The sequence below is a fragment of the Homo sapiens genome, chromosome 4, assembly GCF_000001405.40.
Source record: "Homo sapiens chromosome 4, GRCh38.p14 Primary Assembly".
Taxonomy (NCBI): Eukaryota; Metazoa; Chordata; class Mammalia; order Primates; family Hominidae; genus Homo; species Homo sapiens.
This window is the reverse complement of record NC_000004.12, coordinates 64,156,402-64,175,323: the sequence shown is the minus strand read 5'-3', so window position 1 is coordinate 64,175,323 and position 18,922 is coordinate 64,156,402. Positions and strand designations below refer to the sequence as shown.

At 37.3% G+C, this 18,922-nt stretch overlaps 1 annotated feature.

Moving 5' to 3' along the window:
- Window positions 18,041–18,552: an enhancer, noted in NCBI's record as "NANOG hESC enhancer chr4:65022490-65023001 (GRCh37/hg19 assembly coordinates)". NCBI's record gives its function as "activates a minimal SCP1, AML or CMV promoter by ChIP-STARR-seq in primed H9 embryonic stem cells {active_cell/tissue: H9 hESC(primed)}" and the evidence as "EXISTENCE:reporter gene assay evidence [ECO:0000049][PMID:30033119]".

Here is an 18,922-nt window from a genome sequence, read left to right as displayed (position 1 = left end):
ATATCATAATTCTTACATTTTATGTGTCATAGAATGATGCAGTAAGTATGACAAATATATTGAGCTGCTATCTAGGAGACCAGAATAATTAAATAGTCCTATGTCTTAAATAATCCAACTTCACTGAAAGCATCTTTATTTTTTATTAGTGTCATATTTCTGGGTAATATTTAAATTTCCTGGAACTCCAAAGTAAATAATTTAAAGTATAGCCTAATTATAAACATAAAATTGAACAATGTCAAGGAATAATTTAAAAATTTAGAACAGATTTTAAATAACAATTGTGGATATTAACAGAAATGCAGAATCAGTTACCTTTAATATTGGGCTTTTAATTTTACATATTTTTCCTTGAGTTCAAAGTAGGAAATATGATGGTAGGGTCACAAGATCCTTAGCATGTCACTTTTCCAGCTCAAAACCAACCACTTTTTTATCTGTGGCCAGTGGCACCTTTGCCTGAGTTCTGTTCAGGCTGCTGTGCTGGTTCCACCCACTAGGCCCAGCAGGCCGTGCTTGGCTCGCTCTACTGGCTTGGACTCCATGCCTGCCAAGGGTGAGCAAGACATGGAGCAGTGAGGGGTGTGTAAGCGAGTGTGGGGTCTGGCCACTGCTCACAGCCAGGCGTGCCGGCTGCGGCAGGGTGGACAGCTCTAGGCCCTGGTACAAGCGTCGGCTCCCTACGAGGCTGCGACTGCACCAGGTGTATCACAAGTAGCTTCCATTGTGGGTGCCAGAGAATGCAGTGGTGCCTGGAAGCTTGGAGACACCAGGAACCGCAGAGCCCCAAGGAAGTGTCACAGCCCTGACTTGGGGAGCTACTAGGTCTGGGCTCCTGAAAGTGCTGCAGCACTTCTCTCCTTCTCTCTTCTCTCCTCCTAGTGGAGAGTCGGGGGCATGTCTCAGCCCTGTTTGTGTTACAGCACTTTCAGTCTCATCATTTGGCAGGTCCTGAGTTATTGTCCAATGTCCAGGAAGAATGAGATATGTGGACAACTGGAAGGTGAACAAGGCAGAGAGGAGCTTCACTGAGCAATAGAACAGCTCGCCAGAAATCCGAAGTGGGTAGCTCCTTTCTGCAGTTGGTAGTCCCAGTGCCTGTGTGAGACTGGCTAAGTCTGGGGTTTTTATGGGCTCAGAAGGGAGGAACTGTGTGCTGATTGATCCATCGGTGGTCATGGGTGAGCCCCAAAAAAGCACTCCAGGCCACAGACTCCACCGGGAACTGGTAGCCAATCCCCAGGTTTCAGGCCATCCCTGGCTTGAAGGTGGGGTTTCACCAGGGACCCACCCCTTTCTGCCCAGGAACCTGTCTGCCTCCCACCATCTACATGCAGTCCAAGGCACTCAGTCTGTTTGCACTGAGGAGCACTTGCAGGCCTGTGCTGAGCTGCCATTAGCCCCCTCCAGCATCCCTCTTGTGCTCCTTGGCACCCAAAGTCTGGAGGAGGCCGAGGTGGTGGTGGGGGATAGTATGTCAGTGCCTTCCTGAGCGCGTGCACAACCGGCTGGGTTGCAACAGCACCCAGGCTTGGCCACAACTTTGCTCGAAAATTGGAGCAGGCACCAGGATCAAGGGAGAGGCCAGGGAGTAAGAGCAGAGACATCTGAGCCAGTGGGGCCAGGGGAGTTTCCTGGTCTCCCAAGAGTGCAGGGATGCCTGGGTCTGGAGCTGCAGCTATCCAGCTGTGCCCCAGAGCCTGGCGCTCCTGCCGCACCAACTCAGTAGGGGGCAGGGCTCCCACCTGTTCCTGCCTCCCGCTGGCTCCATGGAGTGTGCAGCCCTGACTGTGCCTCCCCTGCTGCAGCTGGCATCCCCGCAGTGGCTGCTCTAGATGGGCCACCACCACCATCAGAGGCACTTCTTTTAAAAATTATATTTAATTTAATAAATAATATTAGAGCCAAATATATAATTTTAGAAATATTGTGTTTGCCATGATGCAGTTACAGAGTGACTATGGAAATTAAATATGTATTACACACTGAAAGTACGAAAATCATGACATGGCCGGGCACAGTGGCTCATGTCTGTAATCCCAGCACTTTGGAAAGCCAAGGCAGGCGGATCACCTGAGGTCAGAAGTTCAAGACCAGCATGACCAACATGGAGAAACCCTGTCTCTACTAAAAACACAAAATTAGCCAGGCGTGGTGGTGCATGCCTGTAATCCCAGCTATTCGGAAGGCTGAGGCAGGGGAATCGCTTGAACCTGGGAGGTGGAGGTTGCGGTCAGCTGAGATGGTGCCATTGCACTCCAGCCTGGGCAAGAAGAGCGAAACTTTGTTTCCAAAAAAAAAAAAAAAAAAAAGGTCTAGGCACAGTCGCTCAAGCCTGTAATCCCAGAACTTTGGAAGGCCAAGGCAGGTGGATCACCAGGAGTTCGAGACCAGCCTGACCAATATGGTGAAACCCCATCTCTACTAAAAATACAAAAATTAGCTGGGTATGGTTGCACATGTTTGTAATCCCAGCTACTCTGGAGGCTGAGGCAGGAGAACTGCTTGAACCCTGGAGGCAGAAGTTGCAGTGAGCCAAGATTGCACCACTACACTCCAGCCTGGGCGACAGAGTGAAAAAAAAAAAAGAAAATATGACGTAAAATTTTGTTTATTTAGCATATTGCAAGCATAAAAGTTAGAATATGCTTAAATAAGGCTACTTGTGAATTAAGAATTATTATAACAATCTGTTATGATTATTCCACAAGTGATTCCTAGAAGTGAAAATAATTCATGCTCTTCAGCTAATGATTTTATTTTTGCTCAAAGAATAATTATAAGCATATAGATTCATAGCCCAGTTAAATATATTTGAGATGTGAAGTAGAACATGGCATCAATGATGAGACCAATAAGAAATTAAAATATAGCATGTTATTTTAAAAGTTGCTGTTTATAAAAATGTTGTATTATTGGTAGATCATTTGCATATTTTTTCTCTACAAGTCTGCTATGATCATGAAGACAGAGACCACTATGGTTATATCTAACAGAAAGATATTTAAGAAAGGAATTTAGAAACAGCTCTTATAAAACAACTGGAAAAGCTGAGGAAGCACAAGTCAAGGAAACTTGCCAGTGGCTTTTGGGAGATCAAAATTTTTTAGTTAATATGGGAATTAGCCATTGATTTTCTCAGACTTCTGCAGCACTAGTGAGAGTATTTTGATAGACAATGCCCACGGTCACTGTCAAAACCTTATGTCTGCCATATGTATGTCCTGGCCCATGTGATTTTTCACCACATCCACATGAACAAGAATGGCATTTACTTCTGTTATGCCCTCCAAAGCTTTTGTTAATGCTTCTTCTTGGTGGAATACAATCTAAAATTCTGCTGATGGGAATTATGTAGAAATATATGTTCTGGGTTTCTAGCTTCTACTACACTGGCAAAATCATGCAAGGAAAACTTATTATTGAGTTGCTAAAAGACAGCATAAGACAAACTCAAAATCGTATTTAAGGTTTATACCTTTTAAAAGAATTACATGGGACCATAGAGATACTCTAAGTAATACAATCTCCATTGCAGAGTATTAATCACCACACTTAACTATGTAGACTCTTCAAAGAAGCTAAACTATAACTGAAAAAGAATTATAGGCCATATATATAATTTTCATTAGAGAACCAGCATTTGTGTTCTTAAGGAAAATATAAGAATTATCTCTTCTGTGTTATTCTTAGATATTCTGGCATCAGCTTATATTTCAGTCTCTATTTTTATATGCATAATAGTAGTAGAGTTAGAGGTATAAAAGTGTTTTTTTTATGTTTTATATTTTAAGAGGAAAAGTTTTATAAGGCATATATGTTAGTTATACTTATCAACCATTACCAATGTTTAAGTATTATTTTATCTTCACTATTATCATAAATTGCACTAAATCCTATATGAAAACAAGTAAGGTATAAGACAAAACATTACACGTGTATGAGTGTATATGTGTATGCATTGTACATCTATGCACATAGATCTTGTATAGGATATAAATAAAAATGTGTATTCTCTGTGCTTTGTAGTGTATCCAAACACAGATGAGGTATTTCTTGGTATAATTTTACATCCGTACTTAAGACTGTGTTTGTACCCATGTAATTTAGTGACAGTTTCATGCATGTTAAATTTAGTGACAGTTTCATGTAAGTCTGGCCGGGCGTGGTGGCTCACATCTGTAATCCCAGCATTTTGGGGGGCCAAGGTGGGTGGATCACCTGAGGTCTGGGATTCAAGAACAGCCTGACCAACATGGAGAAACCCCGTCTCTGCTAAAAATACAAAAATTAGCTGGGTATGGTGGTGAATACCTGTAATCCCAGCTACTCAGGAGGCTGAGGCAGGAGAATCACTGGAACCTGGGAGGCAGAGGTTGTAGTGACCTGAGACTGCATCACTGCACTCCAGCCTGGGTGACACAGTGAGACTCCATCTCAAAAAATAAATAAATAAATAAAATAAAAGTCATAATTTTTCCAATTATATCTTAGGATGTTTACATAAAATTTTAATTCCTAAGAGCACATACCTTGCAAATTCTCATTTTTCTGATAGGTTTGTTACTTGGTTAAAATGTGTAAAGTTTTAGTGTGTGGTTGATAATCTAGATTCATGTAAAAAATGACATTTCTTGGCAGTTCTACATTTTCAAAAAATTACTCATAATCTGAGAATAGAGTAGCTTTCTGCAGCTTTCATTGGAATACTTATGTTTTAAACATCTTCTCTATACCTGGGGACAGGATCCTCTATGATATAGGCCAATTGTTAATGAAAACATGTTTTTTAAAGTATCAGTATCCTGTTGGTTTACACTGATATTCATTTGGATTAATGAGGCACTCTGGTAGTTTATAGGATATAGGCTAAACTCATTTGATTTATGTATAATAAATAGCTCTGCTTCAACAGTGTTGACTGTTAAAGTACTTCAAGTGAACATTTGTTCTTGAAGAATAAATCACACTGGTTCAACTAACCTGAAAAACTAAAAAATCCTGGTAAAATATGTAAGTTGAGTAAATGAGGTAGAAGCATCTCTACTTTCCATGGAGAATTCTGTTACTTGTAGATCTTAAACATCACTGAATAAAGACAAGTAAGTTCTCAGTGGGGTAAGAAAAATGAACCAAGGGAAAAAAAAGGAACTCTTTTACTTTTTACCTCATCATTGTTGCCAGTCAAGACCACCTGATCTTTGACAAAGCTGACAAAAGCAAGAAATGGGGAAATGATTCCTTATTTAGAAGTGGTGCTAGGATAACTAGCTAGCCATATACAGAAGACTGAAGCTGGATGCCTTCTTTCTTCAGTTTATAGAAAAATGAACTGAAGATGGATGAACAACTTAAAGGCACAAGCCAAAACTATGAAAACTATAAACTATAAAAACCCTAGAAGACAACCTAGGCAATACCATCCTGGATATAGGAATGAGCAAAAATTTCATGACAAAGATACCAAAAGAAATCAGAATAAAAGCAAAGATTGACAAGTGGGATCCAATTAAATTTAAGAATTGCTGGCCAGGCGCAGTGGCTCACGCCTGTAATCTCAGCACTTTGGGAGGCTGAGGCAGGCAGATCACAAGGTCAGGAGATTGAGACCATCCTGGCTAACACGGTGAAACCTCGTCTCTACTAAAAATACAAAAAATTAGCAGGGTGCGGTGGTGGGCGCCTGTAGTCCCAGCTACTCTGGAGGCTGAGGCAGGAGAATGGTGTGAACCTGGGAGGCAGAGCTTGCAGTGAGCCGAGATCAGGCCACTGCACTCCAGCCTGGGCGACAAAGCGAGACTCCGTCTCAAAAAACAAAACAAAACAAAACAAAAAAATTTCTACACAGTAAAAGAGACTATCAACAGAGTAAACAGACAACCGACAGAATGGGAGAAAACATCTGCAAATTATGCATTTGACAAAGGTCTAATATCCAGCATCTATAAGGAACTTAAACGAATTCACAAGAGAAAAACAAACAATCTCATTAACAAGTAAGCAAAGGTCATGAATAAACAATTTTGAAAAGAAGACATACATGTGGCCAATAAGCATATGAAAAAATGCTCAATATCACTGATCATTAGAAAACTGCAAATTAAAACCACAGTAAGATACCATCTCACATTAGTAAGGATTGCTATTATACTAGTAAAAAGTAAAAAAATAACAGATGCTGGTGAGGTTGCAGAGAAAAAGGAACACTTATACACTGTTCATGGAAGTGTTGACTCGTTCAATCATTGTGGAAAGCAGTGTGGCTATTCCTCAAACAGCTAGGAGCACAACGGCCATTGGGCCCAGCAATCCCATTACTGGGTATATACCCAGAGGAACATACATCATTCTGTCATAAAGACACATGCATGCGAATGTTCATTGCAGCACTATTCACAGTAGTAATGACATGGAATCAACTCAAATGTCCATCAATAACAGATTCGATAAGGAAAATACAGTACATATATACCACAGAATACTATGCAGCAATTAAAAGAACAAGATCATGTCTTTTAAATTTAAGAATTTCTACACAGTAAATGAGACTATCAACACAGTAAACAGACAACCTACAGAATGGGAACGTGGGAAGGTGGATAAAGCTGGAGGCTATTATCCTTAGCAAATTAACACAGGAACAGAAAATCAAATGCTGAATGTTCTCATAAATGGGAGCTAAATGAAAGGAATTTATAAACACAAAGGAAGGAAACAACAGACATTGCAGTCTACTTGAGGGTGGAGAGTGGGAGGAGAGAGAAGAGCAGAAAAGATAACTATTGGGTACTGGACTTAATTCCTGGATAATGAGATAATCTGTACAACAAACCCCGGTGACATGAGTTTATGTATGTAACATATCTTCACAGGTACCTCCAAATCTAAAATAAAAGTTAAAAGATAAGAGGTAGATGAGGTTGAAAGAAAAAAGAAAGAATGAAAAGGAGGAAAAAAGAAACAACAACAGATATGTGGTTTGCACTTCATACAGTCCAGACTTCTTGGAAATACTCGTATAACTGAAATTCATCTGCTCTGGAAAATGCCAAATAACTCTCTTTAATTAGACCATTTAAATTCCGTTAAATACTTTACTTCATGGAAAGTTCAAGCTCCAATATGTTCAAAAGCTTAGCTGATTGTTGAAACAAAAAAGCCCAAAGATATTTCTCTTCTCATTATCTTTTAAACAGAAGAAATAAAAAATGATTAATAACCCTGAGGTGCTGAATTAAAGTAAACTTGAAGATGCAAGGGGAGGAGAAAATGAAATGAAAAATGCTCTGTGCTTCCATAGCTTCCACTTTCAACATGAGAGTGAAAAATAAAAAAGAAAGAGAATAAAATAAAACAAAATTACAAAACAATTACTGGTTTCATTCTAAGTGTGGAGATTGCTTTTTTTTTTTCTTTTTTTTGACAGTCTCACTGTGTTACTCAGGCCATAGTGCAGTGGCACAATCCAGGCTCACCCCAGCCTCAATCTCCCGGGCTCAGGTGATCTTCCCACCTCAGCACTGTTTGTAGCTGGGACTGCAGGCGACCATCACCATACCCGGCTAATTTTTGCATTTTTTGTAGAGACTGGTTTTGCCACGTTGCTAGACTGGTCTCGAACACCTGGACTTGCACGATCCTTCGCTTCCAAAGTGCTAGGATTACAGGAATGAGCCACCACACCTGGCCCTATATACTTTTTTTAAAAATTTACTTTAAATATAAAATTCAGCCTTAGCAGCAGAGAACTGGAAATCTCTGGCTTAAAAATATATTGATTTTTTTTTCATTTCTCTAAAGTAAGTTCAAGCTTAAGCAACCTGGAACTTGTGTGCAAACAATGTCCTGAGCAATTTATCACCCATTCTTAGCTTGTCATTCCAAACATATAGTAATATCTTGTTCTTGAGTACAAGATGATCACTGCAGCTCCTGGCCTATTTTCTGTATTCACATGATAAAGGAGAAAAAGCAAATAGCCTGTAAAAACACCTCCCTATGGAGTCAGGTCACTTAAAAAGCTTTTTCCATAAAAAATAATCCAACAACTTCTCTTTCCAATCTTTAGCCATGCTTAAGTTAAGTGCATGAAACCAATCCAATCACTTTCATTTTTTCCAGGGATGCAGTACCAGGTTACCCATGACCTCATTTGAAAAAAATCATTTTACACTCATCTCAAATTAAAGGAAATGTTGGAGAGATGTTCAAACTTCATTTTTTTTCCTCAGCGTAAGAGGGTGAACTTGTGGTAGTAGTATGATACCAAACACTGAAATGAAATACATAGAGAGTATACACGCAAACACACCTTTTAATAGCTTATTTTTCTCAAGATTTTACAGAAATTGTTGCTATGCTTTAATGTGTCATATCTACAGATCCCACAGTGAAGCTTGTTAAATAGCATTATGGCAACCTGGCCAGCTCTCTGTTTCCTTTCCTGGACATAAAAATATTTGTTATATTTAACATGCCAAAGTAAATGGAAACAACTATTGCATGATTGTTGGTTGTATAAGTATTCAATTATATGTATTGTTTATGTATTTTTTGGATAGATGTTAGAGTGAGCATTTGCTATTCATTACCATGAAAAACCTTTTTAAACAAATGATTATATGTATCAGTATGAGATTTTATTTCAGACAGAAGCAATAAGAAATGAAAAATGAGGTAACTGCACAAATAGCAATAGGAAAAGCACGGTTCTTGATTAACGGAAGTAACAGCAGCCTCCTGACTCTGGTAAGGCAAAGTGATTCTGTCTATAAATATCTCAAGCATTAAACAACAGCTCAACCTTCGATGGCACCCTAGAAATGCAGCCAGGTACTTTCTTTAAGCTCTGCCAAAAGTTTTGTGAATTAGTTTATAATTTGTTTTAATCTCATTTTAGAAAATTCCTTCCTGTTTAAAACAGCTAATTTTAGTATCTGAAACCAATTATGTTGGTAAATAAAAAGTACCAAGACTGGTTTCAGACAAAAAGACTTTGAGAAAAGTAGAAATCTGGTTAATTTTGGAAGAAGTTATATCCAAATTAGCATCAAAAGTTATAATTCTTATAGTTTTTACCACATGGTAAGTGAAGTATTTTTCCACCTGTTTTAAATTTTCACAGATAAAGGATCACCCTGATGTTTCTACTGAAAGCAAGGCAATCCATTTTGTGGAATGAATACTTGCTGTTATAAATTATGACTCTGGTCAAAAAGATTATAAGAATGAATAAGCTGGTTGAGTACATATAACTGCTATGAAAACCTTAAAGAAAGACAATTTCAAGCCTGCCATTTTATGTTCTTATACAAAAGGAGAATCCAAGAACTGTGCAATCTCTAGACTGCTTTGGAAGAATTACATTTTTCTTTGTAGCCATGAAAAGATGTAGAAAGAAATAAGATTATGGTCCTATAAAGAACTGAATTACAATAAATCTATAGTAGAGAAACTTATGCTAGATGTACACACATAATCAGAGACAGCTGAAACAGATGGGAATGATAGCAATTGTTCATTTGATTGGTAGACAATGTTGATTGGTACTTAATGTTGGCTTATTCTAAAATATTTGAGATGTCATAAATTATGATAAATTATATAGAGAAGTAATCCAAATGCTAGGAGATATGTAAGTTGAAAAAATGTGTGAATCATTCACTATTCTTTAATTATATCCCTGGAGATGTGTCTGAGAACATTCCCTTCAGGAAAGGAAAGGAAAGGAAAATTGCACTAGTGAGGAAAACAGCAACAATCTGGAAAACCTCTGTATCAACTGTCCTCGGGAAAATAGGGATGGAAGTGAGAGATTCTGCAATGGACCCCCAAATGCATGGAGTAAAGCCAGATAGAGTCACTTAGCAAACAGATACAAGAAGGTATTGTATGCTTGTCAGATTAGACAGCAGGTCAGAAGTGGCAAGCCAAATAGCTACACTCTCAGAGCTCTTTGCTAGTAGTTGATTATTCATTTATCCCACGGATCAACTTAACAAATAACCTAGAAGATCTTTGTTAACTAGGGGGGAAAAAGAGCTCTATTGTGGAGAGCATGCCTGATATGGTATCTTTCTTGTAGAAGCAGTCAGATTGAGACCAGCTTCTTTAGGCTTGTTCAATGCTGGTAAAAAATGTTTCTTTGGTGTCAAATATAAAGTATACGCAAGGGCTTGGTAACCTAAGTTTTCTTTCACCACAGGTCATCTGACATCTAATGTTCATTGGTAAAAACTTCCCAGAAATTTTGTTGCTCCTGCTCATCCAAATAATCTGTGAACTTCCAAGCATTGCTCAACAAACCCTTTACTGCCTAAACTACTGGGTATGCATTTGTTGTCTGAAAATAAAAACTTTGACCCAGAAGTCAGTCTTTGAATAAGTCTACTGGAAAGCAGTTAAACATATTTAAATGATTTTATTGTATTATATACGGTAAATTCTATTGCCACTGCATACTTTAGATAAGAAAATAAATCAGTATGTTTTTCTTAATGATCATCACTGCCAGGTGGTGAACCACTGGTAAAAAGAGTTGAGATTTTAAAAATCATGTCAGGTGAAAACTGTGAAAACATAAAATAATAATAATATAACACCTTACATTTTCCCATAAAGAGTATAAAGTTAATCGTCAATCCCAAACAAGAAAATTTCATTCAGGCTTTATTTATTTATTTATTTGGAGATGGAGTCTCGTTTTGTCGCCTGGGCTGGAATGCAGTGGCGCGACCTCAGCTCACTGCAACCTCTGCCTCCTGGATTTAAGTGATTCTCCTGCCTCAGCCTCCCGAGTAGCTGGAGACTACGGGTGCACGCCATCACACCCAGCTAATTTTTTGTAGTTTTAGTAGAGATGGGATTTCACCATGTTGGCCAGGATGGTCTCTATCTCTTGACGTGCATTCAGGATTTATTAACAAACAAACAAAACCAATACAACATAGGCTCATAATGTTCTTGGCTTCTTCCTCTATGACATTTAGATAAAATGAAAATACAAGTAATTACCAATAATAGGCCTTTATAAGGTATCTTAAGCTGTATCACTTTTAAAGATTGAAACCCCCTTCTCAGGAAGTACCTCATAAGATTACTAACAACCCCAAACTTAGAACTGCTTTCTACCTGAGATACATCTCCTCCATGGATGCTTGCTGAATAAGATCATATCAAATACTTTTGACAACTCACTCTACTAATAGCTGCTAGAATCTATTAACTTTAATAAAAATTCTCTTGCAAGGAATTCCTTGTTTCACCTGGTTAAGAAGATATACAAGGCCCTTCTCCAATCATTACTCCCTGTTGGAATTATGCAAAGGAATTTAAATTGTTTACAAGGGATCTCATGCCTCCATGGGAGGACAGGATTTAAAATAGTTGTGCAACTGAAATATGTTTGACATATTTTAAGCTAAACTTGTGCATGAGGGTTGAAACTTTATTTTCAAGTAGAAAAGAAAAAAAAGGTAGGCACTGGAAGTTTGTAGAACAGTAGTACTGTCTATCTTGGGTTTCTAATCTATTACATCTACTCTATTAGCTTTCAAAGACACCTCCAGAAAAGGGAGTATTTCCCCAACTGACAGAAACTCAGCTTTTAAATGTAGTGTGAAGTCATTTCGTCTCATTCTAAAACTTCCCAGATGAGTAATCTCTTCAAGATCATAATAAGTAGATATTTGATAAAGCATGCTATTTGCAATTCTAAATTTTCCCTTATGAGGAAATTTCCTTATATGACAACAGAATATAGCTACGCATCACCATTAGCATTTATTTAAATTGTCAGAAATCTTAATAAAAGCTTTAGTCAAAATATAATACAAACTAAATTATGACAACGCAAGTTCTCATGCTGTCTTTAATGTAGGTACAAAGATAGTTTCTTTTGCCATCAGACCTACACAGTTGGCAACATAGAATCTAGTTCCATTTGCTGCATTTGCATATTGTCAAATATTGATCATGGTATTTATCTCATTGTTAGTTCAGCAAGATGGTCATATGTGATGAGACTCTCTGTGTTATCTAAAGGAGTTGCTTAAAAACAAACAGATAGCTCTGTTTCACTGTACTGTGTAAACATACAAGGGAAAATGTAGTCTAAGATCAACATTCCATGTTGTATGTATGATAACTTACTACTTGTAGATTTGTGGAAAGATAAAGTCACTGCTGTTGGGTGTTGAATTATGACAGTACAAATGATAGGGCATACGATTTGGAAAATATGATCTCCCAAATTCTATTCCCATAAATTATAGTCTTTATAGTCAGACTTACTATTACCTTGTAACAATGCCTTCACATGTACCCTCATTGCAGTTACTATTCTTAAACTGTCTTAAGCTTAACTTATCCAGATTCTCTTCTTTAATTAATCATATTTTTCTACCATGTATATTTAAGTGTTGATTATTAAATAATATAGTATTTTGTATTAGCATCTGGGCATGTCTTCATGAATTCCCTTTGTAATTGTACAGTAGATTTTTGATCTGTTTTTCCTAGCCAAAAGATACATCAACATGATAATAATTTAGACTTTTCTTACAAATTTTTCTTCTGGAAATTCTTAATAAATGCAAAACTGCATACATTCTAAGGTAAATGTAATCGGTTTTCTGTAGATTTAGGTATGTTTGTGTTAGTATGTGTGCATGTGTGTGTGTATGTGTGTGTGTGTTGTCAAAACTTCTGGTTTTGATTCTTTTGATTTTGTATAGATCAAGACTGTGACTTCAAATACCCTGCTTAACCCAATCCCATCTTCATTTTCTTTTGTGGAAGAAAAGCATAATTTTAAATACTAACATATCCCATGCTTTGATAATTATTATCCCAAGGAAAATTATTCTAGATTCATAATAGAGCATCAAAGAACCTTCACTATGCATCCAAATAATAAAAAAATATAGTTCAGGGAATAAGAGAAAGCAGCCAAAAATAATTTCTTCCAGTCCGAGAACAAGAATTTGAGGAGTGACACACACCCTTAATATTAGAGTTAGACTAGGTTGCATGAAGAATTAATTTTTTGATGTTTCCCAGCCCTTCCTTGTGAAAGTCAGGCCTTTGGGGCTCTGGTGTCCAAATGCTTTAGATCAAATCCAAGTCTCACTCAAAAATAAGCAATGGGATGCCAACTTCCTTAAATCTCTTGGTTTCTATTTTCATTTTTATAAAGTAAATGTAAGAATGCAAAGTATTTCAAATATTATATTTTTTTTTATAATTTACTGAAAAGCACTTTGTGGATTTTCAAGCCTATAATAAACACTTGATACAACTTAATTATGGGTAGTTTTTGTAACTCTGGAAATAAAATCTACCTCACTTTTTGTCCTTTTTTTTAATGATAGTCCCATAAATATTTTAATTACAAATGTGTATTTAATACTGCAAATGTATATTTAACCTATGCATTTAATAAAATTAGATAAGCAATCTATATTTGCATATTTTAAAATAAGTAACATTTAGCAAACAATAGAAAAAGCGAGTCACCAATTTTCAAATCGCAAAATAATAATAATAATAATAAAGGTGAGTTTTTAATATCGATTAAAAAGTATGTGTTTATAATACCTAAATCTGCTTTGCTTTAATTTCAGATTTGCAAAACAAACACTATATGACAACACTATATGTTTTTTTTCTATTTCATGCAGTCATGGTTTAGGAAAATCTGCTTTCGTATAAAGAATAATAAAAGTAAGTCATTTAGCATAAATCTAGGGCAACTAATCATAACCGCATATGTACTATAGTATTTATTAAAGCATTACATTAGAAATTCTTGATTTAATAGCCAATACATTTATCACCTCTTGAAACTTCAGCATATATGCTTTACATCACACAGGAGGAAAGAGTTCTGCATACACAAATGTTCACAAAATAACAAAAAGCAGAATAAACTAAATTCCTAGGAAAATCATAATGATTTGTATGAAAAAGTGTTTCAAAAAAGATTTCTGCAGTTCTTTAAATAAGACTTCTTTAGTAAAGGAGTTCAGAAAATAAATCCACTTATCTAACTATCTGTCTTTTCATTCATCTCTCCATTCATCCATCCATGCATATATACATTCATACATACATAAAAAAATCACAGAACACACATCCTTTTCAAGGTCATCGCAATTGCATTTCAGGTTTTCATAATTCTATGCTACTAACTATAAAAAAGCATGCCTCAAAATAGCCAGTAATCAAATTTCCTAATTTTCTTAAACAATTTTAAGAAGTATTATGATAACCAATATAAAATGATGTAGAATTACTGAAAAAAAAAAGATGTTAAAAAAGACCAAATTTAAAGTCATTGACTTACACTCTCATGTAGACGATGTGTTAGGCCGTTCTTGCATTGTTATAAAGAAATACCTGTGACTAAGTAATTTATAAGAAAAGAGGCTTAATTGGCTCATCGTTTTGCAGGCTGTACAAGAAGCATAGTGGCATCTGCTTCTGGGGAGGTCTCAGGAAGCTTCCAATTATGGCAGAAGGCAAAGACAGAGCAAACCTATCATACAATGAGAATAGAGCAAGAAAGAGAATGGGTGGGGAGGGACCACACACTGCTTAATAACCAGAACTTCCTTAAACTCAGAGAAAGAGCTCACTTATCACCAAGGGGATGGCCTAAATAGCCGTTCATGAGGAATTTACCCTCATAATTCAAACACAACCTACTGGGCCCCATCTCCAACACTGGGGATTACATCTCAACATGAGATTTGGAAGAGGCATCCAAATTATATCAGACGATCAAATACTTTCTACTTGTTAAGTGATCATACTTCCTTATCCAGACTGTAATATATCTCCAAGTCCTGGCCTTATAATCAGTTCTTTCTCAGTAAAGTGATAGTATTCATTGAATTCTCAAAATAACTACCATATTGGATTAGTCCGTTTTCACACTGCTATAAAGAACTACCTGAGACTGATATTTTATGAAGAAAAGAGGTTTAATTGAATTGCAGTTTTGCAGGCTTAACAGGAAGCATGACTGGGAAGCCTAAGGAAACTTACAATCATGGGGGAAGGCGAAGGGGAAGCAAGCACACCTTACCATGGCAAAGCAGGAGAGAGAGAGGGAAGGCGGGATTGCCACACATTTTCTAACAACCAGATCTCATGTCACTCACTATCAAAAAAACAGCAAGTAGTTATTCCATTTCCATGGTTCAATCATCTCCCACCAGGCTCCTCTCCCAACACATGGGAATTCCAATTTGAGATGAGATTTGGGTGGCGACACAGAGCCAATCCATATCACATATGTTTTTTTGTTTGTTTGTTTGTTTGTTTTTTGAGACTGAGTCTCACTCTGTTGCCCAGACTGGAGATCAGTGGCACGATCTTGGCTCACTGCAACCTCCACCTCCCGAGTTCAAGTGATTCTCCTGCCTCAACCTCCCAAGTAGCTGGGATTACAGGTGCATGCCACAGTGACTGGCTAATTTTTGTATTTTTAGTGGAGATGGGGTTTCACCATGTTGGCCAGGCTAGTCTCTGCCCTCCTGGCCTCCGAAAATGCTGGGATTACAGGCATGAGCCACCGCACCTGGCCCACATATGATATTTCGTAAAATAAAACAGGTATGTGAAGCTTACAAAATTAAAACACAAATCACTAATTTTAATACTCTAGCTTTGATATATAAACCTATTATCTGCCAATAGAAACCGATGAATAGATAGATAGAGAAATAGGTAGATAGATAGAAATGTAAACAAATAGATATATGGAAAATGATATGATCTTCATTCAAGGGAAGTTTTGATAGTATTAATCATTAAAAAAATAAGGTAATGTGTTATAAATACTGATGCAAAACAATATGCTTTGTAATTAGAATAATTGTATTTAATTCAAGTTTAAATAAATTTAAGCACCTGGATACCTATAATTTTCAAGATATGAAAAAGGCCTATTTTTTTCAAAACTTTAGGGAAGTTTGGAATATAAACTTTAAAATATATAAGGGATTTCTTATCTTTTTAACTGATCTTTTAACTAATGTTTGCCATTGTCCTTAAACGAAAATTGTTTTGAAATAAATTTATTTGACTTTTAACATTTTTTTAATGCTCTGAAAAGTAAATATTAGTCACCTGGATAAGCATTTTGCCACATTGCATAGGACAGATAAGAACACAGGGGTTGTGGGAATATTCCAGAGTAATAATTGAACCCAAAGAGTGTATTTTGCAACAAGAGAATGTGAAGTACATTAGAAATATCAAGCCTCATAGCAAGTATAAAAACTGGACCCTCCAAACCATCACATCATTGATCCACTTCTCAAGGAACAATTCGTGTGTTGGCTTCCTGTGTATCTGCAAGATACATCAGAATATCAGTGGGCAGACGCCACCTAGTGGTTGTCTGTGTAGAGAAAATGAGAAGTTCAGTAATTTAGAAGATAACTTACACGTCTTTTTAGCTCATTTAGCAACTTCCGTTGCTACGAACATTGATACTTGGATTTTAAATGCTTAACTAGGTGGCTTGTGTGGTTTCTTAATTCTGCTTTGGTCAGCAAGATCCCAAAGAGATTTTGCTGACACTCAAAACAAAATAGCAACAAATACAGCAAACAATGAAACCAAAATGAAAGTTGAAAACGTAAAACAGCAAAACTTATAGTTAAAGATACAAAATGCTAGAAATAGCATTTCTATTAATGCTAATAGAAAATAGCATTCTATTTTGTATTTCATTTACTGTTACATTCCAGCATGTAAAGAGAAACCACCTGTAACTATTTTTTCTTCAGGTTAAACAATTATTTACTATAATTAAATTAAGCCAACAAAGGAATAAAAGAAACATGAAAATAAGTCTCCCCAAATTAATTACTTTGTCTATTCTATATTTATGAAGTAGTCTAAGTCCAGGGAAGTTCTTTAGGTGTTATATTATCCAAGGTTTAATTAAACTATTTTAATTATTTGTTTCTGCTATATCTAAAAGTTTTCTGAATTACAGTTAAACAATTAACATTTTGGGTAAAAAATATGCTTATATGCTTAAATCAAATGAAATTGGTGTTTTTGCCTGGTTTTCTTATTTCATTTGGTTAAAAATTGAATCAAACTAATTGTAATAGTAAAATCTCATATGAGTGTCTGACTTATATTTACATTTTACTCAGATACGTATAGTAAATTTAGAACTATTGAATTATCTGGAATCAAAATTGTTTAATAAGCAAAATGTCTCATTATCTACAGCAGTGTGATATGGTTTGGCACTGTGCCCACACCCAAATCTCATGTTAAATTGTGATCTCCAGTGTTGGAGGTGGGACCACCTGGTGGGAGGTGGTTGGATCATGGGGATGGTTTCTAATGGTTTAACACATCCCCCTAGTGCTGTCTTGTGAGTGAGTTCTCACAAGATCTGGTTGTTTAAAAGTCTGTAGCACGTCCCCCTTCACTCTTTTTCTTTCTTGTGCTGCCATGGTAAGACGTGCTTGCGTGCCCTCACCTTCTGCCATGATTGTATGTTTCCTGAGGCCTCCCAGCCATGCATCCTGTACAGCCTATGGAACTGTGAGTCAATTAAACATATTTTTCTTCATAAATTACCCAGTCTCAGGAGTTCTTTATAGCAGTGTGAGAACAGACTAATAAAGAAAAATGGTAGAGAAGTAGGGCATTGCTTTAAAGAAACATGAAAATGAGGAAGTGACTTTGGAACTGGGAAATGGGCACAGGTTGGAACAGTTTGAGCTCCAGAGAAGACAGGAAGATGAGGAAAAGTTTGCAACTTCTTAGAGAATTGTTGAAGGCTTGTAACCAAAATGCTGATAGTGATATAGACAATGAAGTCCAGGCTTAGGCGGTCTCAAATAGAGATGAGAAACTTATTGGGAACTGAAGTAAAAGTCATCTCGCTATGCTTTAGAAAAGGGACTGGTAGCATTTTGCCCCTGCTCTAGAGATCTGTGGAACTTTGACCTTGAAAGAGATGATTTAGGGTATCTGATGGAAAAATTTTCTAATCAGGAAAGCATTCAAGATGTGGCCTGGCTGCTTCTAAAAGCCTATGCTCATTTGCATAAAAAAGAGATTATCTGAAACTGGAACTTATATCTAAAAGGAAAGCAAAGCATAAAAGCTTGGAAAATTTGCAGCTATACCATGTGGTAGAAAAGCAAAACCCATTTTCTGAAGAGAAATTCAAGCCAACTGCTGAAATTTGCATTAGTAAAGAGAAGCTGTATGTTAACAGTCAAGACAATGGGTTATATGCCTCCAGGGTGTTTCAGAGACCTTGGTGGCATCCCCTCCCATCAAAGGCCTTGAGGCCTAGAAGGAAAACATGATTTTGTAGGCCAGGCCCAGGGCCATGCTGCTCTTGGAAGCCTCAAGATATGGTGCCCTGTGTCCTAGCCACTTTCGACTCCAGCCATGGCTAAAAGGAGCCAAGGTACAGCTCAGGCCATTGCTTCAGAGGATGCAAGCTGCAAGCCTTGTTAGCTTCCATGTGGTGTTTGGCTTGCAATGGCAACAGTTGAGGTTTGGGAGTCTCTGCCTGGATTTCAGAGGATGTATGAAAACACCTCTGTGTCCAAGCAGAAGTCTTCTTCAGGGCTGTAGCCCTCATGGGGAATCTCTACTAGGACATTGCAGAAAGGAATGGTAGGGTTGGAGCCCCCACACAGAGTCCCCACTGGGGCACTGCCTCATGGAGCTGTGAAAAGAGGGCCACCATCCTCCAGATCCCAGAATGGTAGATCCACTGACAGCTTGCACTGTGTACCTGGAAAAGCTGAAGGCACTCAATACCAGCCCATGAAAGCAGCCACATGGGCTGTACCCTGCAAAGCCACAGGGGCAGAGGAACTGAAAGGCCTTGGGAGCCCACTGCTTGCATCAGCAAGCCCTGAAT